This window comes from Homo sapiens, chromosome 13 (genome assembly GCF_000001405.40).
Source record: "Homo sapiens chromosome 13, GRCh38.p14 Primary Assembly".
NCBI lineage: Eukaryota > Metazoa > Chordata > Mammalia > Primates > Hominidae > Homo > Homo sapiens.
This window is the reverse complement of record NC_000013.11, coordinates 111,337,091-111,353,806: the sequence shown is the minus strand read 5'-3', so window position 1 is coordinate 111,353,806 and position 16,716 is coordinate 111,337,091. Positions and strand designations below refer to the sequence as shown.

General features: G+C 45.8%; 1 protein-coding gene across 3 annotated transcripts in view; it reads right to left on the bottom strand.

Moving 5' to 3' along the window:
* Positions 1 to 9,558: 9,558 nt before the first annotated feature.
* The window catches only part of TEX29 (testis expressed 29), a 28,064-nt gene continuing 20,906 nt past the window's right edge, over positions 9,559 to 16,716 (bottom strand). For 2 of the 3 annotated variants that reach the window (XM_017020387.2, NM_152324.3), the window contains exons 4-6: positions 13,875 to 13,944; positions 10,876 to 11,051; positions 9,559 to 9,724 (exon numbers count right to left, since the gene is read on the bottom strand). In XM_017020387.2, coding sequence (XP_016875876.2) covers positions 9,684 to 9,724; positions 10,876 to 11,051; positions 13,875 to 13,944 — 287 coding nt within the window. In that variant the 3' untranslated portion in view covers positions 9,559 to 9,683. Of the gene's footprint in view, positions 9,725 to 10,875; positions 11,052 to 13,874; positions 13,945 to 14,368; positions 14,514 to 16,716 lie in introns of all 3 variants that reach the window. The other variant, NM_001303133.1, reaches the window with a different exon arrangement.

Sequence of the window (16,716 nt, the reverse complement as noted above, 5' to 3'; positions counted from 1 at the left end):
TTGAGCCCAGGAGTTTGAGACCAGCCTGAGCAACATGACGAAACCCCATCTGTACTAAAAACACAAAAAATTAGCCAGGCATGGTGCCATTTGCCTGTAGTCCCAGCTACCCAGGCGGCTAAGGTGTGAGGATCAGCTGAGCCCAGGAGGCTGAGGCTGCAGTGAGCTGTGGTTGCTCCACTGCACTCCAGTCTGGGTGACAGAGTAAGACCCTGTTTTTAAAAAAAAGAACATCAGCAGTGAAGCCTTCAGGTCCTGGGCTTTTCTCTGATGGGAGACTTTTTATAACTGTATCAATCTCATTACTCATTATTAGTATATCAAGGCTTTCTATTTCTTTACGACTCCATCTTATTAGGCTCTATGTATTCAGTCATTTATCTATTTCTTATAAATATTTCAATTTGTTGGCTTATAGTTGTCCATAACAGTCCTTTGTATCTCTGTGGTATCTGTTTTAATGTCTCATTTTTCATCTTTATTTTAATCTTCTCTCTTTCATCTTAGTCTAGCCAAGGTTTATCAATTTTATCTTTTAAAATAAAACTCATCATTTTCTTGATCTTTTATATTTTTAAAAATTCTCCATTTTATTTCTGATCTGATCTTTATTATTTCTTTTCTTCTACTAATTTTGGATTTAGTTTGTTCTTGCTTTCTAATTTCTTAAGATGTAACATTAGGTTGTTTACTTGAGATCTTTCCACTTTTTTGAAGTAGATGTTTACAGCTATTAACTTCCTGCTTAGAATGCTATATCTCATAGGTTTGGGTATGTTGTATTTCCATTTTCATTTGTCTCAAAGAATTTTTAAATTTTCTTTTAAAGTTCTTCATTGACCCATTTGTTATTCAGTAGTGTGTCATTTAATTTCCATGTATTTGTAGAGTTTCCAATATTCTTTCTGGTATTGATTTCTAGTGTTATTCCATTGTGGTCAGAAAAAATACTTGACATCATTTTGATTTTTTAATTTGTTAAGACTTGTTTTGTGACCTAATATATGGTCTATCCTGGAAAATATTCTATGTGCTGTTGAAAAGAATATGTATTCTGTAGCTGTTGAATGGAATACTCCATAGATGTCTGTTATGTCCATTTGGTCTAGAGTGCAGTTTAACTCTAATGTTTCTTCATTGATTTTCTATCTGAATAACCTGTCCATTGTGGAAAGTGGGGTGTTGAAGTCCCCTACTATTATTATATTGCAGCTGATCTCTTCCTTTAAGTCTATTAATAGTTGCTTGTATGTTTGGGTGCTCTAGTGTTGGGTACATATATATTTACAATTGATATGTCCTCTTGCTGTGTTGACCCCTATATCATTATATAATGGCCTTGTCTTTTTTTACTGTTCTTGATTTAAAGTCTATTTTATCTGATATAAGTAGAGCCACTCCTACCCTTTTTTGATTTCCGTTTGAATTTCTTCTGTCCCTTTACTTTCAGTCTATGTCTATCTTTATAGTTGACGTGAGTTTCCTGTAGGCAGCATATAGTTGGGTTTCTTTTTTTTTTATTCAGTCACTCTATGTCTTTTAATTGGAGAATTTAATCTGTTTACATTCTAGGTTATTATTGGTAGGTAAGGATTTATTACTTCCATTTTGTTATTTGTCTTCTGATTGCTTTTTAAAGCCTTTCTCCTTTTTTTTTTTTTTTCTCTTACCATCTTCCTTTGTGGTTATTTTCTGTAGTAATATGTTGTGATTCTGTGCTATTTATTTTTAGTGTATCTATTATAGGTTTTTGCTTTGTGGTTACTATGAGGCTTACAAAAACCATCTTATAGTTACAACAAGTTATTTCAAACTGATAATTGTGATTGCAAAGAAAAGAAAAGAAACAAAAACAAACTCTACAATTTAACACCATTCCCCTCCCACATTTTAATTTTATAATGTCTCCATTTATATCTTTTTATATTGCCAATCTATTAACCCATTATTGTAGTTATGTTTGTCTTTAATAGTTTTGTCTTTTAGTCTTTATACTAAAGATATAAGTGATTTACACACTACAATGACAGTATTAGAGTATTCTGAATTTGCCTGTATACTCACTTTACCATTGAGTTTTTTTCCTCGTTATGCTCTTTCAGATTGCCAACATCTATTTCTGACATAAATACTCAGTAAACTAGGAATAGAAACATTCTTACCCTGATAAAGAGCAACTAATAGTTTACTTAATGATTAAAGACTGAATGATTTTCCACTAACATCAAGAACAAGGCAAAATGCCCACTCTCACTATTTTATTCAATACTTTACTGGAAGGTCCAGCCAGTACATTAAGGCATAAACAAGAAATAAGAGACACCCATATTGGTGTCTTTATGTAGATAACATGAATCTGTATTTATTCAGATGACATGATTGTCTCTGTAGAAAATTCAACAAAATCTACAAGAAAAAGCTACTAGAACTAATAAGTGAGCTTAGCAAAGTTGTGAGTTCAAAATCACTACACAAAAATCAATTTTTATACATTAGCAATAAACAATCAGAAAAATTTAAAAACAATACAATTTATAATAGCATCAAAATATAAAATGTATGTACAAATAAATGTTCAAGATATATACACTGAAAGCTATAAAACATTGCTGAGACAAGTTAAAGAGGATCTAAATAAATGGGCTATGTTGTATTCATAGATTGGAAGACTTGGTATTGTTGAGATGCCATTTCTCCCCAAATCAATGCACAATGCAATCAATTAAATGCAAACTGAATCAAAATCTCAGCAGGCTTTTTGTCAAGACAGACAAACTGATTCTAAATGTCATATGAAAATGCAAAAACCTTGAGTAGCCAAAAGCCCTTTGAAAAACATTCACAAAGACTTATACTACCTGACTTTGAGATTTATCACGAAGCTACAGTAATAAGAGAATGCAAGACGGCATCATCAAGATAGAGACAAAATAATGAAACCTAATAGCGTCCAGAAATAAACCCACATATATATGGTCAAGTGATTTCCAACACAGGTGCAGAAGGAATTCAGTGAAGAAAGAATGGACTTCTCAATAGTGTCAGAACAACTGGATATCCACATCCAAAATTTGTATTTCAATCCACACCTTGTAGCTGATGGACAAATTAACTCAAGATGAATCATAGACCTAAATATAAAATGCAAAACTATAAAATATCTAGAATTAAACAAAGCACAACATCTTTATGACCTTGGATTCAGAAAAGTCCTCTTAGACTATGAGAGAGTGAGAGACAGAAAATCATGATCTATAAAATGAAAAATGAGTATATTGGATTTCATCCAAATTTTGAACATCTCTTTGGAAAACACTGTTAAGAGAATGAAAACACAAGGTACATACTGAGAAAAAAAATACTTGCAAGTCGTTTGCCTGAAAAAAATGACTTGTACTTAAATATGTACAGAATTCTCAAAACTCAATAATAAGAAAACAGCTCAATAAAAAATAGGCAAAAGATTTTAATAGACACTTTACTAATACAAACAAACAAGCGGCCGGGCATGGTGGCTCACGCCTGTAATCCCAGCAATTTGGGAGGCCGAGGTGGGTGGATCACGAGGTCAGAAGATTGAGACCATCCTGGCTAACACAGTGAAACCCCATCTCTACTAAAAATACAAAAAATTATCTGGGTGTGGTGGCGGGTGCCTGTAGTGGCAGCTACTCAGAAGGCTGAGGCAGAAGAATGGCATGAACCCGGGAGGCAGAGCTTGCAGTGAGCCGAGACAGTGCCACTGCACTCCATACTGGGCAAAAGAGCGAGACTCCATCTCAAAAAATAAAAAAGCAAACAAACTATATCCACATAATAAGTTCGATATATCCACATAATAAGTTTGATATCATTAGTAATTAGGGAACTTCAAATTAAAATCACAATGTGATGATAGCGCACACCCGTTAAAATAATTAACATTAAAAAGACTGACCAGACCAAATCTCAGCAAGGATGTGGAGCAACTGGAACTCTCAGCTGCTGGTAGGAATTGCAAATGGAAAACAGGTTGTCAGTTTCTTCAAAAGTTAAATATACGACCGGGCGTGGTGGCTCATGCCTGTAATCCCAGCACTTTGGGAAGCTGAGGTGGGTGGATCACGAGGTCAGGAGATCAAGACCATCCTGGCCAACATGGTGAAACCACGTCTCTACCAAAAATACAAAAATTAGCTGGGCATGGTGGTGCACACCTGTAGTCCCAGCTACTTGGGAGGCTAAGGCAGGAGAATTGCTTGAAACCGGGAGGAGGAGGTTGCAGTGAGCTGAGATCACACCACTGCACTCCAGCCTGGTGACAGAGTGAGACTCCATCTCAAATAAAATAAAATAAAATAAAAATACATCTACCATGTGGACCAGCCATTTCACTAAGTATTTACCCAAAACAAATGAAAGCATATGTCCACACAAAACTTGTATGTGAATATTCATGGAAGATTTATCTGTAATAAGCAAAAACTGGAAATAATCTAAATGTCAATCACCAAGTGACTGAATAAACAAATGTGGTATATGCATGAAGGAATACTACTCAGCAGTAAAAAGCAATGCACCATTGATAAACACATCAACATGGCTGAATGTCAAAATACCTATGCTAAGTGAAAGAAATCAGACAAAAAAGAATACATACTGTATGATTCAATTTATAGAAAATAAAAACTAATCTCTGGTGTCAATGAGCAGATCCATGGTTGCTGGGCACGACAGGAAGGGTGAAGAAGGGCGGGTGTGAGAGATCACAAAGGAGCCTGACTCAACTTTTGAGTGATGGATGTGTTCATTAACTTGATTGTAGTGATGATTTCATGGGTGTATTCATACGCCAAAACTTACAGAATTGTACACTTTAGATATGTGCGCTTTGGTATAGGCCCATAATACCTCAATAAAGTTGTTAAGAAGAAAAAGTGGTATCCTATCCCAAAGAGACTTCAAATATTAGTGCCTCCACTAAAGACCTGGTGCCTGGGTGATTGATACAGTTTGGATTTGTGTCCCCACCCAAATCTCATGTCAAATTGGAGGAGGGTCCTGGTGGGAGGTGACTGGATTATGGGGGCAGATTTCCCCCTTGCTGTTCTTGTGACAGTGAGTTCTCATGAGATCTGATGGTTTAAAAGTGTGTGGCATTTCCCTCTTCTCTCTCTCAGTCTCTTTTTCTCTCTCTCTCTCTCCTGCCACCATGTAAAGAAGGTCTTTGCTTCCCCTTCCCCTTCCTCCATGATTGTAAGTTTCCTGAGGCCTCCCAGTCATGCATCCCATTAAGCCTGTGGAACTATGAGTCAATTAAATCCTTTTCTTCATAAATTACCCAGTCTCAGGTAGTTCTTTATAGCAGTGTGAAAATGGACGAATATAGTGATGATTCCTGCCACACTCTTCACCTAACTCACCTGTTTAGCAAGTACAACAGCCACATGGGCCTTGGAGAGCAACAGTAAATCGCGCAGATTTAGTGAGGTGTTGATGACAGTGGCAGGTGCAATTACACATTTACCTTTACTAGAATAAATCAGCTGGTATGCAACCAGTTTGCAGCTGTCAACTTGAAAAATATTTTATTCCAGTGCATCCATAAAGAAAAATAAGAAACTGCCTTCATGTAGCAGCAACGGCAATGTGCCTTTGATGAGTTGCTTCGTTGCCAAGGCCCAGGTACACCTGTTGTTCTGGCAGAATTATCAGTAGCACTTCCTTTCACTTTCAAAATCCAGGTTTGGATTGTAAATTATACAATCACCTTATTCAGGACAAGGCCAAGTCTTTTGCATTGTCCTGCATTGTCCTGGAGGCCTAAGACCTCGAGAATAGTCTGAATCATACTGAGAAACTGTAGGGACCCATCTGGCAAGTTCTAATAGGAGAATCATTGCACAAATCTCTGAAGATTTGAGTTAGGTTATCCCCTCTTCTGTTGGCAAATCTCCTTTCCAAAAGCAGCTCTGGGCTTGCTATTAGGGTCCGGTAGAAACCAGTTCTTGCAAGTGTAGGTTCGTGGGTGGACCTGCACACTACCCCAGCACTGCAGCAAGTAGGCAGATCCTGTGCTGTGGCCTCACACGAAACCCAGTAATGAAAGGAGACCCTCCCAGTGAGCAAACTGTGTGGCATGATCCACCATCCACTTTCTATGGAATAAGACACGCCCTGGGGTGCTGATTCACATCAACTTGTGGGCAGTGGCTCATGGGTTGACCAGCTGGCCATGGGCTTGAAGAGAATAAGACTGGGAAATTAGTGTCAAGGGGGTTGTATTAGGCTGTTCTTGCACCGCTACAAAGAACTCCTGAGACTGGTAACATAAGGAAAAGAAGTTCAGTTGGTTCACGGTTCTGCAGGCTGCAAAGGGATGGTACCAGCATCTGCTCAGCTTCCTGAGGTGAGGCCTCAGGAAGCTTCCAATCATGGCAGAAAGAGAAGCGGGAGCGGAGCAGGCACATCACATGATGAAAGCAGAAGCAGGAGGGAGGGTGTTGGGGGAGGTGCCTCAGACTTTTAAACGACCAGATTTCTTGTGAGCTCAGAGAGAGAGCTCACTTGTCACCAAGAGGATGGCTCAAGCTGCTCATGAGGGATCTGCCGCCATGATCCACCCACCACCCAGCAGGTCCCACAACTCCAACGCTGGGTATCACATTTCAACATGAGATTTGGGTGAGGACAAGGATCCAAACTCTATCAGGGGTCAAAGTGAGAAACACGTGTGTGAACTTCTCAGAACCTATGTCCACCACAAGATGTCCACTGCCGGCAGGCATTTAATAATTATATGGACAATCTGATATCCCGTGAATGTCAACTAGCCCTTCCTCGGCTACCCTGAGGCTTGCTGGAAGGGCTCATGCACAGAGCGGCTGCAGCAGCAGGGATAAAGGCTGTGCATGGGCTCAATGGCCCGACCTTCCTCTGACCAGGGCTGATCAGTCGACTGCCTACCTTTCCCAACAACAGAGACCAATGTGGCACCACTTTTCAGGGTAGGCAGATACCACCCGTTAGCAGGTTGAGTACATTGGGCCCTTCCATCATGAAAGGAACAACACTGAATCTTCGCAGCCATAGACAATATCCCAGGTGTGTATTTGCCTTCCCTGCTCACAGTACTTCTGCTGACACCAGCGAAGTCACCTCTAACCAAGAGACACATTTTATGGCTATGGCAGCCTATCTGGTGACCGCAACAAACCATGCCTGCTTGTTTGTGTCTTTGGGTTGTCCTCTCCCAAACTGACTCTGAGCTTGGCCACGACTAGCTGTGCCCGTGGCTGCCGGCCAGGGGTTCTGTGAGAAGCCACTGCCTGGGAAGCGCTTCCTTGGCAGCTCTGTCTGGCCTTCGCCTCGCTCAGCAGGGCACCAACTGCGCGAGGGCAGAGGCCCCGGCCTGTGCAGGGTTGTCACACATCCGGGCCATGGCTGGCTGTCCCTGATGGGGCCACGTGCCCACCGGCCTCACTTGTACTTAGGAGTTCTGGCCCTTCTCCTGGGGGGCCCTGGCCGGAGCAGTCCCCAGGGCCCGGTCCTCTTCCCAGCTACACACTGAACTGCTTCCCTTCCTTCATTCCCTACCCCACTGCCCTTAGCAAGGCCAGTCCCCAAACCACACATGGGGAAGCCCTTCCCCCGACCCACACCCTAGTGAGTCACAGGGGCTTCCCAAACCGGAGGCCCCAGGTGACCCCTAACGTCTCTGACGAGCATCCAGTCCACCAATAACCTGGCACTTTTTTCAGGCTGGATCTTGATTGTTTTCAGGGAAGGGGGCAGGGTTGAGGGCTTCAGCAAAGGGGCCCACAAAGGTGGACGTGTTCCACCAGTAACTTGCTCTCTAGTGACTGAGGAGTCACCAAAGGAGCCACAGGCAGCAAAGACCCAGCTGCCCAGAAAGCGTGGCTGCCGGGAGGCCGCTCTGTGTGCCGCTTCCTCCTGAGGATGAAAGCTAAGAAGTAGGCGTGCCTCCGGCCAAACCTGGCTTTTAGTGTTATTTTGTGGGGTCATCCATTCTGCCTCACCTCTGCAAGGGATGGTCCGGGCCACGCTGGAAACATCGTGCAAAGAGACTCTGCCAGTTAGGGCCGCTGAGCCCCATCTGCACAGCTCTAGGTTCTTGCCAAAACCCATTCCCAGTCATTGGCCAAGGCTTTATTTGAAGACAGTCTAAGGAGTGCTCAGATCCCAGGTGACTGACCTCCAAAACACATTTTTTTCTTTTTTTTTTTCTTTCTTTCTCTCTTTTTTTTTTTTTTTTTTTTCTGATGGACTCTCGCCCAGGCTGGAGTGAAGTGGCATGATCTCAGCTCACTGCAACCTCTGCCCCCCAGGTTCAAGCAATTCACCTGCCTCAGCTTCTTGTGTAGCTGGGATTACAGGCACGTGCCACCATGCCCAGCTAATTTTTGTATTTTTAGTAGAGACGGGGTTTGCCATGTTGGCCAGGCTGGTCCCGAACTCCTGACCTCAGGTGATCCACCCGCCTCAGCCTCCCAAAGTGCTAGGATCACAGGCGCGAGCCACCACGCCTGGCCCCAAAACACATTTCTAACATCTCTAGCCTGGGGGTTTACCGACTACAGCTTGTAGGCAGCGTCCAGCCCGTCACTGGCTTCCATAAGAAAGTCTTTTTGGAGCAAGGCCACGTCCTTCCTGGAGGCATCGTCGGTGTCTGCCTTCACGCTACAGCCGCAGAGCCAAGCAGCGGAGGGACCTTACGGAACTGAAAGCCTGAAATACCAGCTCTCTGGCTCTTTACAAAAAGTGTGCTGACACCTGATCTACACCAATACAAGAGCCCGACTGGCCTAAGGCCAGCCAGTCAGTGCCCGTGAGCAGAAAGAGGCTAACAGCAGGCCCATAACCTCCCCCTGCAGGAAGCCCTAGAGCAGTGCAGACGCTGGGCCAAGCCCATGAGCAGCTGACAAGGTTTACCAGCCAGAAAGCAGACGAGGGGCTTCCAGGGGCTCACGCAAACTGATTTCTCATCTAAATAATCCTTGGAGCAGGATGCGTCTGGTCTATCTGGATTGTTTATTATCCTTTCTTAAAGCTGCAATGCATGGACATAAGGGCCACAGTTCCTGGGTAGAATGCATATTTTTGAGGTGAGAAAACGGAGCCTCCAAGATCCGTGGGCTGCCCTGGGCCGGCCTGCGCGTGCCTGTGAGCATCTGTCGGCCACTCTGGGACTGAGCGCACTGCCTTGCATGAGGGGCTCTCAGGCAGCTACGGCCTATGCTTTGGGGCCTCTCAGATCCAGATCCAGACGCTGCTCCTCCCTCGCAGCACGGCTGAGTCCTAGCAAAGCCAAATGCCAGAGTCTTGAACCGCCTGTGTCTGTGTGGCAGCCCACTCTTGGTGAAAGTGCAGCCTGCCTTCTGAAAAGAAGACCTCGAGGACACCACCTTGAGCCCATGCTGTGAGCCCCCATAGTGTTAATATTAGTGACAAGCAGTGCCATTAAAAACTGAAAGTTCAGGTTCCCACTCTCCTACCCCACAGGCTTTCTCTCTCCTAAGATAAAAATATAGCAATGAATAAGCAACATCGGACGAGAAGCAATTTTCAAAATACCTTTATTTTTTTCTCTTTGGGTGGTCATTCCATCACACTGTTAACAGTGCACCTGCTGTACCATTTCATTTGGATAATTCTGACAATCTCCACTTCTTCATGCGTCTCAGTCAGTCCTCAGTTTCTTCGGCTTCTGTTATTGTCCCTGTTACTAGATTTTTAGAAAAGAAGAATTGTTTTTTCAAATGGAATATTCAGCAGTCCCGAAAAGATTTCATCAGGATCTTTGAACCCATCTACATGGTGTCTGATTGGCAATGATTGATTCAAAAGCCAGTTTTGGGGATGGCCGTATCCTCCTATGTTTCTCATTGCATTCTAGGGGACAGTAAAACACTCTTCCTCCCACATCATCTCTCTACACAGGAGGCTCCCTTAACCAGGCAAACATCTGTCCTGCAGGAAAGCCTCATTTGCACAGACGCAGCCTCAGTTAGGGGCCAGGCATTCCAGATCTGAAATCAAGTGTGGGTTGCCCTCTTACCCTGCCTCCTGATTTTCCTGATGGTCCCTGTAAAGCCAAGTCTATTTGGTAACAATGGGTAAGGCCAGGCCGTTTGTATCCTGTACAAACATCTCTGAAGATAAGGATTACCATTTGAGATGTTTCTTTCTCTAACCTGGCAAGGTGCTGATCTAGGAAAAGCAACCGGCAACCTCCAAGGGCCCCCAAAGCAGGTAAACCAACATATGAGAAACTTTCCTTCCTGGAAACCGAAGCAGGCATAGAGTGATCGTCCACCTCTCCAACCACGACCACCACGTGGCCAGGGCACCACAAAGAGTACCCACAGCAGCCCTGCAGCCTCCCCGCACATCCACGACCACCAGGCGGCCAGGGCACCACAGAGAATACCCACAGCAGCCTGGCAGCCTCCCTGCACAACCAAGACCACCACGTGGCCAGGGTGCCACAGAGAGTACCCATGGCAGCCCTGCAGCCTCCCCACAGGAAGTCACCTGATCAAATGTGCAGTTTCTGCAGGACTCTTGCCCCCTCCCCAGGAGCTTCCCACACTAACAATGAGGGCCCCGCCAGAGGGTGAAATGACAGGGAGGCAAAAGGGGATGGGAAGGGGGAGGACAAGACTCACAGAAGGAAACTCACACTGACAGCCACATCCACCCTGCAAACCTGAACCTCCAATGTTGGGTACATTACAATTTTGAACAAACTGCAACACTGATCACTGAGGTTGAAGGGCCTGTGTAGATGTTGAGCCCCTTCCCAGGGAAGGTCTCCCGAGGGAACAGAGCCACGCCCTTGACCTTAGGCTGAGGATCATTCCAGAAGCTTCTCACCATCATCCTTATCCTCGTCACTCTTCATCGAGGGCCCAGCACTTGGAGGCCCAGGACTCGCAGGCTTCAGCCCTAACTTGCTGCTGGATGAGGCCAACTCCGCCTTTTCGCTGGACTTCTGTGGCAGCGCGACATCCACAGGGATGGCCTTTTCTTTCCTGCTCTCCTGAATGACTCTGATGGGAAGAGGGTTTTATCACAGTCAGGGAAGTTACAGATGGAAAACTCTCCAGTTCCTCCCTCCCACCCACCAGGACATCCCTCTGAAAACACAGGTTCCTGATCATGCATACTTATTTTTTAAGGTAAATGCTTTGATGTAATAGTTCTCATTTTCGTTTCTTTCTCTCTCTCTTTTTTTTTTTTTTTTTTTTGAGACAGTTTTGATCTGTCATCCAGGCTGGAGTGCAATGGCACAAACACGGCTCACTGCAGCCTCCAACTCCCGGGCTCAAGTAATCCTCCCACCTCAGCCTCCCAAAGTGCTGGGAGATTACAAGTATGAGCCACCACATCCAGCCTCATTTTAGTTTCTTGTGCAGGCTCCAAACAGATGGCTGTATGAGGCAGCTAGACTCCCAAAGACAGCTCCGGGCAGGGGGAAGGTGTGTGTTGCACTGCAGGCTACTGCCGGCTCATCTTCATGATTAACACACATAAGACAGCATACAGCACCACTCATGGTAGGAAAATGGCTTTACTCATTCCTGGACAAAGAGACTCAAATAATCTCAGGGGCTTGTATGCACACAGAGTGGGCTCATGGTGAAGGTGGTGGCCGGGGAGTGAGATGCTGGATTCCAGCCCTGCCCTGGGAATAGCCACCTGCTTCCTTGGCCCCCCGGGTCTGCATTTCCTCACCATTAAAATGAGAGGGAGTGGACTCATCTCTGAGACACCTCCAAACCCTGACACCCTGCAATGAGGACGCAGGCCACAGGCCAAGAGATGCAGGCAGCCTTGGGTTCAGGGACTCTGAGACAACTGGGAGCCTGAGTTAGAGCCTCACTGCCCCATCCATCAGCCTCGGGACCCCCTCGATGCTGCGTCAATCATCCCAGTCCGGGGACAGTAAGTTCACTTACATCGTCAGTGGCTTCAAGGGCTGAAAAGGCTGAGCAGAGCTCTTAAGAGTCTTAGGTGCTCACTAAACACGGGTTATGATGTTCATCAACAAGCACAGGTGCTCACTAAACACGGGTTATGATTTTCATCAACAAGCACAGGTGCTCACTAAACACGGGTTATGATTTTCATCAACAAGCACAGGTGCTCACTAAACACGGGTTATGATTTTCATCAACAAGCACAGGTGCTCACTAAACACGGGTTATGATTTTCATCAACAAGCACAGGTGCTCACTAAACACGGGTTATGATTTTCATCAACAAGCACAGGTGCTCACTAAACACGGGTTATGATTTTCATCAACAAGCACAGGTGCTCACTAAACACGGGTTATGATTTTCATCAACAAGCACAGGTGCTCACTAAACACGGGTTATGATTTTCATCAACAAGCACAGGTGCTCACTAAACACGGGTTATGATTTTCATCAACAAGCACAGGTGCTCACTAAACATGGGTTATGATGTTCATCAACAAGCACAGGTGCTCACTAAACACGGGTTATGATGTTCATCAACAAGCACAGGTGCTCACTAAACACGGGTTATGATGTTCATCAACAAGCACAGGTGCTCACTAAACACGGGTTATGATGTTCATCAACAAGCACAGGTGCTCACTAAACACGGGTTATGATTTTCATCAACAAGCACAGGTGCTCACTAAACACGGGTTATGATTTTCATCAACAAGCACAGGTGCTCACTAAACAGGGGTTATGATTTTCATCAACAAGCACAGGTGCTCACTAAACACGGGTTATGATTTTCATCAACAAGCACAGGTGCTCACTAAACACGGGTTATTATTTTCATCAACAAGCACAGGTGCTCACTAAACACGGGTTATGATTTTCATCAACAAGCACAGGTGCTCACTAAACACGGGTTATGATTTTCATCAACAAGCACAGATGCTCACTAAACACGGGTTATGATTTTCATCAACAAGCACAGGTGCTCACTAAACACGGGTTATGATTTTCATCAACAAGCACAGGTGCTCACTAAACACGGGTTATGATTTTCATCAACAAGCACAGGTGCTCACTAAACACGGGTTATGATTTTCATCAACAAGCACAGGTGCTCACTAAACACGGGTTATGATGTTCATCAACAAGCACAGGTGCTCACTAAACACGGGTTATGATGTTCATCAACAAGCACAGGTGCTCACTAAACACGGGTTATGATTTTCATCAACAAGCACAGGTGCTCACTAAACACGGGTTATGATGTTCATCAACAAGCACAGGTGCTCACTAAACACGGGTTATGATGTTCATCAACAAGCACAGGTGCTCACTAAACACGGGTTATGATTTTCATCAACAAGCACAGGTGCTCACTAAACACGGGTTATGATGTTCATCAACAAGCACAGGTGCTCACTAAACACGGGTTATGATTTTCATCAACAAGCACAGGTGCTCACTAAACACGGGTTATGATTTTCATCAACAAGCACAGGTGCTCACTAAACACGGGTTATGATTTTCATCAACAAGCACAGGTGCTCACTAAACACGGGTTATGATTTTCATCAACAAGCACAGGTGCTCACTAAACATGGGTTATGATTTTCATCAACAAGCACAGGTGCTCACTAAACATGGGTTATGATTTTCATCAACAAGCACAGGTGCTCACTAAACATGGGTTATGATTTTCATCAACAAGCACTCTGGAGAAAATCAGTGGGGCCCTCCGTGAGCCTGGCCAGTTCCCTTTCCCAGGCTCACGGAGAGCTGTTCTCAGTCACCCCAGCAGCACCAAGCCCGAAGGAGCCCAGGCAGGCAGGAAGCTGCGGCCAGGAGAGGTGAGTCCCCTCCTCCCCACCCTCCCAGTAAAGAACAAAGGGACCGACCTGTAGATGATGGTGATGACGAAGGCCCCAGCGATGATCACAATCAAGGCAGAGAACACGTGGATGTAAACTGAAAAATGGTGGGATTTGAAGTCATTTCGATCCAGGTAAATAGAAAAGGAAGAAGATGAAGAAAAGGCAACCCTCCCAGAGTCGGGTGCGGGCCCTCCCGGCGCGGCTGCCCATGGTCAGCACTCCTCACCCACCCTCCCCAGCGTCTCCTGGAGACTCAGCTCTGTGGACATCTCCAAAGGCCCCCGCAGGCAGGCGAGGGCTCCCTGTGAAAGGCAGCTCCAGGTGGTAGTCAGTGCCACCCAGAGGACACCTTGTGACCACCCTGACCCCCGGGAGTGCATGGAGAGACGGCACTGGGTCCTGACCCCCGGGAGTGCATGGAAAGATGGCGCTGGCTCATGACCCCCGGGGGTGCATTGAGAGACGGCGCTGGCTCCTGACCCACGGGGTTGTGCTGAGAGATGGCGCTGGCTCCTGACCCTCGGGAGTGTGTGGAGGATAGATGGTGCTGGCTCCTGACCCCTGGGGGTGCGTGGAGAGATGGCGCTGGCCCCTCTGTTCCTGCTGTGCTCCCCAGCTCCCTGGAAATGGCTCCTCAATGCCCAGGTCAATTCCTCCCCTAAACTGAATACAAGGAAAACACTTATTGGATCATAGACAAATCCTTGACTGGGCTTCCTTGTATTAAAAGGGGTTCCTGCAATCCCCAAGTTTCCCGTGCCTTCTCCAACCCAGCCTCAGCAAAAGTCAAGCCTCCCCAGGTGGCCACGAGGGGCAGCCCCGCCACCCTGGGTTTCCCTGCGTGAGTGCACTCCCAGCCTCTCCAAGACGGGGGTAACTGGGAGGAGGAACTGCTCAGCCCCCTCCTGAGCCTCTTTCTGAGAGACTGCCCACTGCTCAGCAGGCAGGGCCCTGTCTGTGCAAGAGGCCTGAGGGGCGCAGCACCGCCCAGCACCGAGGGCTGATATCTGGATCTCCGTCGGCTCATTGGTTCAGGACTTGGACCCCTCAAGTCCTAACATTTGTACACGAGCATCATTCCTCTCAGAGTCCTTGGTCAAATAATATCCTCATCTACTGTTTGTTCTTCTATGTTCCTTCCGTCAGGTTGATGTAAGGAATTTTTTAATGAATGCAAGTAAAGTTCTTAAGTGGTTGGCTAATCACATATACAGAGTAATTCTTATTGTTGTTATTATTATCAATATTAGTCTCTTCTCTAATTGCTTTCTTACTCTCTCAAAGAAACTGGCTGACTTGCAAATATCAAGTGCAGGTGACACGATTTGCTTCAATTCCCATACCTCCCCTCCTGCTAAACTGCTTCCAAGTCGTGAAGCAGTAACAACACCATCAGATGTAATTTCCCTGGATGGTGTGTCAGTTTGCCAGGGATGCTGTAAGAAAGTACCATGCACTGGGGGGCTTAAAACAATAGAAATTGATCATCTCATGGTTCTGGAGGCCAGAAGTCCAAGAACAAACTGTCAGCAGGGCCGTGTTCTTTTCAAAGGCTCCCGGGAAGGGTCCTCCCTGGCTTCCTCCTAGCATCACAGCAGTCTCTGCCCCTATTGTCACGTGGCTGTCTTTCCTCTGTCTCTGTGTCTCTTCTCTTTTTACAAGGACACCAGCCATTTTGGATGGAGGGCTCACTCTACTCCACTATGATCTCATCTTACCTAATTACACCTGCAAAGACCCTTTTTTCTAAATTAGGTCACATTCACAGGTACCAGGGATCTAAACTTCAACATATGCATTGGGTGTACACAATTCAACCCACCCCAGAAGCAAGGCCGCAGGTGCAGAGAAAGTGGCCTCCTGGGCACATGAGCCAGCTTCCGAAGGGATCCGCACTCCCTGGACTCATCACAGGGCCACCAGCAATGGATGAGGTGCCCAGGATTCTTTCCATGGGGACTGAAGTCAGAAAACTGAGAGGGGATTGAAGCCAGCTTGTGAGGGTAACCCACATCCTCGATTTTCCTCATACCGAGGTGACCTCAGTAAGGAATGGTGAAGTACCCAATGGGCGCTCGATAAGAGTTCCTCACAGAGAGGCTGGAGGAAGGGAGCGAGGCTTGGGGTTGCAAGCTGTCAGATAACAGGAATGTGCATGTACCGAGGAGCACACTGGGAAACTGCTTGTCAAACATTCTTCCAATCAGCTGCCTTATTTCTTTAAGTGAGGACTGTCCCGTGGAAACTTGCTTACCTGAGGAGGGGAAACAGTGGGGCAGACTCACCTCCAAATATCCGGGGCTACCATAACCAGCTTCCAGGATGGCCTCCCGATTCTCACCTCCTGGTATTTACACCCTAGATAGATGTTCCCACACTGAACAACGCTGATCCCTGGAGCCAAAGGAGATGCCAGAGTCTAACCCCCGAGACCAGGTAAAAAAGACATTGCAGCTTCTGCCCTGATCTCTCTTGGGCCAGTTGCTCTGGGAAAGACTGCAGCCCTCATGCGAGGAGAAGAGGCCTCCTATAACATCTGGTACCAACTTCCCAGCAAAGTGAGTCATCTTCCTATAACATCTGGTATCAACTTCCCAGCAAAGTGAATCATCTGGGACGCCAAGATTTCAGGTGACTGCAGCCTCACTTGGCATCTTGACCACAATCTCATGAGACAGCCAAACCCAACCCACCCAGCAAAGCCTCTAAGTTGCTTTAAGCCACTAAGTTTTGGGGTAATTTGTCACACAGCAATAGAGGATGGATCTGAGAGGTAGCCTAGAGCTTGCCCAGAGAATCTGCACTTAAATGCTGTTCAACAAACAGAATCGATCGAATTGAAATGCACAAATAAAGTGAAAGGGTG